We start from the raw sequence: 3094 nt of genomic DNA, 5'->3' as shown, positions 1-3094 counted from the left end.
AGGGAGTCACCAAGGGGAGGTGTTGGAAGCAAGAAAATAGATCTTTTCTTGAGTCTAACATCAAACCCAGGTGCATGTGTTGTGGACAACGTGATGGGAAGCAGCCTGCCAAGGGGCACATGAGCCAGGTGGGGCCAGCCACACTCAAGCTTGGTGCATCTGGAGACACACTCCCTGGCAGTGTTAAACTTTTCTGCAACTTCCGTCTGTGCTTAACAGCTTGTCCGGTTTGTCTTGTGGGTGCTTGTGGTGAGAGAATAATCCAGAAAGCTTTCCCAGAGGTTTACAACGGCATTAGAAAGCTTCAGAGAAGAGCAGCCTGGCCCAGAGGAGCTCATAATTCTGTTTCATCACACAATTATCAGCAATGACCCCTTTCCCACATTTCCAACAAAACATCTTGAAGGACTCATATTTCTAAAATTCACCCATCCACAAATCTTAATTACTGCAAAGAATTCCACATTGCAGATGCCTCAGACTTAAAAAAGAAAAAGAAAAAATCCACGAAATGTGTTTGTTTTCTCACGGCTTCGTTTAAAACCGTTCAAAGGCAACAGATTTTGCTTTACACCGTTGCGCTCTGCGTGCTCAAGCTGCTTCGAAGCTGTTGACTGAGCTGTGATTGCTATGAGTCATCTGCTCACTCGACAAATTCACTAAAAACCTGCTTTGCCTAAATGTTAGTTGTAACTTGAACCTATTGTTTCATTGAATTTAATTTACTTGGGAGAGGGTGGGGAAAATAAACTGTAATTTTATGATTGATTGAAATGGTTAAAAGTTTATTTCCCTGCTCCTAAAGTTTTTTTTTTTTTTTCTCACTTTAAGATAAAAAATCCATACTAGTATTTCAGAACAAAATGGGCCTATTCCTCTGCTTTGCAGAGAGGCTTTTATGGGCCAGAGCTGGCAAGCTTTGCAGGGATAACTGCAACCCGGAGCTCGTGGGGACCTTCGCGGCCAAGGGAGGGCGGCCGAGCCAGAGTCAGCCAGCACTCAGATGGCAGCACCAAACTGAGCTCTGTCCTTATTGCCAAGAGTTTAGAAGAGAATCGGCAGGTAAACAGTCGGTGCCTGGGTCCATATGTGCACGGGGCGCCTCCTGTTTTGCCTTCTGAGGTCGTCCCGCCCGGTTCTGGGCTAATTCAAAGCAGCTCTGCGTTCCTCGGGCTTCTCTCCAGAGAAGCGTCCTGGGCGGTGCTTTCAGGGGCTCCTTGTGGTTCTCCAGCCTTGTGCCTGCCCCTCCCCTCCCCACATCCCCCTGTGATCTGCATTTGAGAAAAGGCAATCTCGCTTGCTAGTTTTCTGGAAAATATAGGATCAACGACCCCAGGCCGGGGGTGCTTTTCCTGTCTGGCTGAGTGGAGGGGGCAAAAGTTCTCCAGCGCCAGCAGTGCTGAAATGCAAGGCAGGGAAAGAGCATGACTTCCCCAGGCTCCTTGGGGCCCCGTTTCAGCCAGGCCATTGGGTGCGAGGGTGGCCATGGGAGTTAGAGGCGATGCTCACGAGAGGCCCTGTCTGGGCTCACGACCTGGAGCTGAGGCCCTGTCTGGGCTCACGACCTGGAGCTGAGGCCCTGTCTGGGCTCACGACCTGGAGCTGCCAGCGCAGTTCCACAGCTTGTGATTTCCCCGCCCCGGCTTGCGCTGTTTCTCTGGTCACAGTATTGCTGCATTTCTATAGACCCCGGGGGAGGGAACAGGGGCCTCTGTAAACACCGACGGGCCTCTCCTCACTCTGTCTCGGTCCCTTCAACTCTTGGTGCTTTGGTAAAAGTGCCGATCCTGAATGAGATATGGATTTTGTCCTCTCCAGCTCCTTTGCCCTTATTGATGATTTGTACACAGTACTAACCAGTCCTCAGCTACCTAGATATCCAAGATGCCTGGTCTGAATGTCTGTGTCCCCCTAAAATTCACTTATTGAATATCACCAACATGATGGTATTAGGAGTGGAGCCTTTGAGAGGCAATGAGGTCAAGAAGGTGGAGCCCTCGTGAATGGGATTAGTGCCCTTATTAAAGGGACCCCAGAGAGTTCCCACACCCCATCCACCATGTAAGTACACAATGAGAAAATTGCCATCTGTGAACCAGGGAGGGTCCCTCACCAGACATGCACTCTGCAGTGTCTTGATCTTGGACTTCTCAGTCTCCAGAACTGTGGAAAATAAAGTTCTATTGTTTCTAAGCCTCAGTTGATGGTACTTTGTTATGAGAGCCCAAATGACTAAGACGCTCCTGCTTGGCATCTTCCTTCTTGACTTCCACCTCCAGTCTCTTTGGGTCCCACCCAAGGTTCTGAACCCCATGTGTTGGGGGCTCCAGTTGGATGTCTCTGGAATTGTGACTCCATACCAAGTTCTGCCTGCAGACTGTGGGTCAGGTACATCCCACGGTCATGGACACCAGCCAGAACCAGCCTGAAAAGAGTAAAACTTGCGAATGGATAGCTGGCCCTGCCCTGTGTGATAGCAGGTACTCAACTGTTCCCCACATCATCCCCCAGGTCTGAGCTCCCTCCTGCCAGCCAGCTTGAAATCTTTTTTTTTTTTTTTTTGAGATGTAGTCTCATTCTTGTTGCCCAGGCTGCAGTGCAATGGCGTGGTCTTGGCTCACTACAACCTCCCCCTCCCAGGTTCAAGCGATTCTTGTGCCTCAGCCTCCCAAGTAGCTAGGATTACAGGTGTCTGCCACCATGCTGGGCTAATTTTTTTGTATTTTTAGTAGAGACAGGGTTTCACCATGTTGGCCAGGCTGGTCTCAAACTCCTGACCTCAGGTGATCCGCTCACCTTGGCCTCCCAAAGTGCTGGGATTACAGGCGTGAGCCACCACGCCCGGCCCAGCTTGAAATCTTCACTTCACCTTGAGGCTTTTGCCCAAGCCATGAAAGGGATGTCACCTGATACATCCAGACTAAAACTTTTATGAATGTAACACACAATTAAAGCTGGAATTTTGAAACAACCAGCTCATTACTGTGCATTTTTACATAAGACATAGAAAATAAACTATCAAAATTTTATCCTGTGACCGGTGATCATTAGCAACATCAACCACAAGTATGGCCTTAGTGCCAATTGCACCAGG

At 49.2% G+C, this 3094-nt stretch overlaps 1 annotated feature.

The window, feature by feature from the left end:
* Positions 1241-1968: an enhancer, noted in NCBI's record as "H3K4me1 hESC enhancer chr2:237701553-237702280 (GRCh37/hg19 assembly coordinates)". NCBI's record gives its function as "activates a minimal SCP1, AML or CMV promoter by ChIP-STARR-seq in primed H9 embryonic stem cells {active_cell/tissue: H9 hESC(primed)}" and the evidence as "EXISTENCE:reporter gene assay evidence [ECO:0000049][PMID:30033119]".

The sequence above is a fragment of the Homo sapiens genome, chromosome 2, assembly GCF_000001405.40.
Source record: "Homo sapiens chromosome 2, GRCh38.p14 Primary Assembly".
Taxonomy (NCBI): domain Eukaryota; kingdom Metazoa; phylum Chordata; class Mammalia; order Primates; family Hominidae; genus Homo; species Homo sapiens.
Note: the sequence above shows the minus strand (reverse complement) of the source record. Positions and strands in the feature narration are given on the sequence as shown.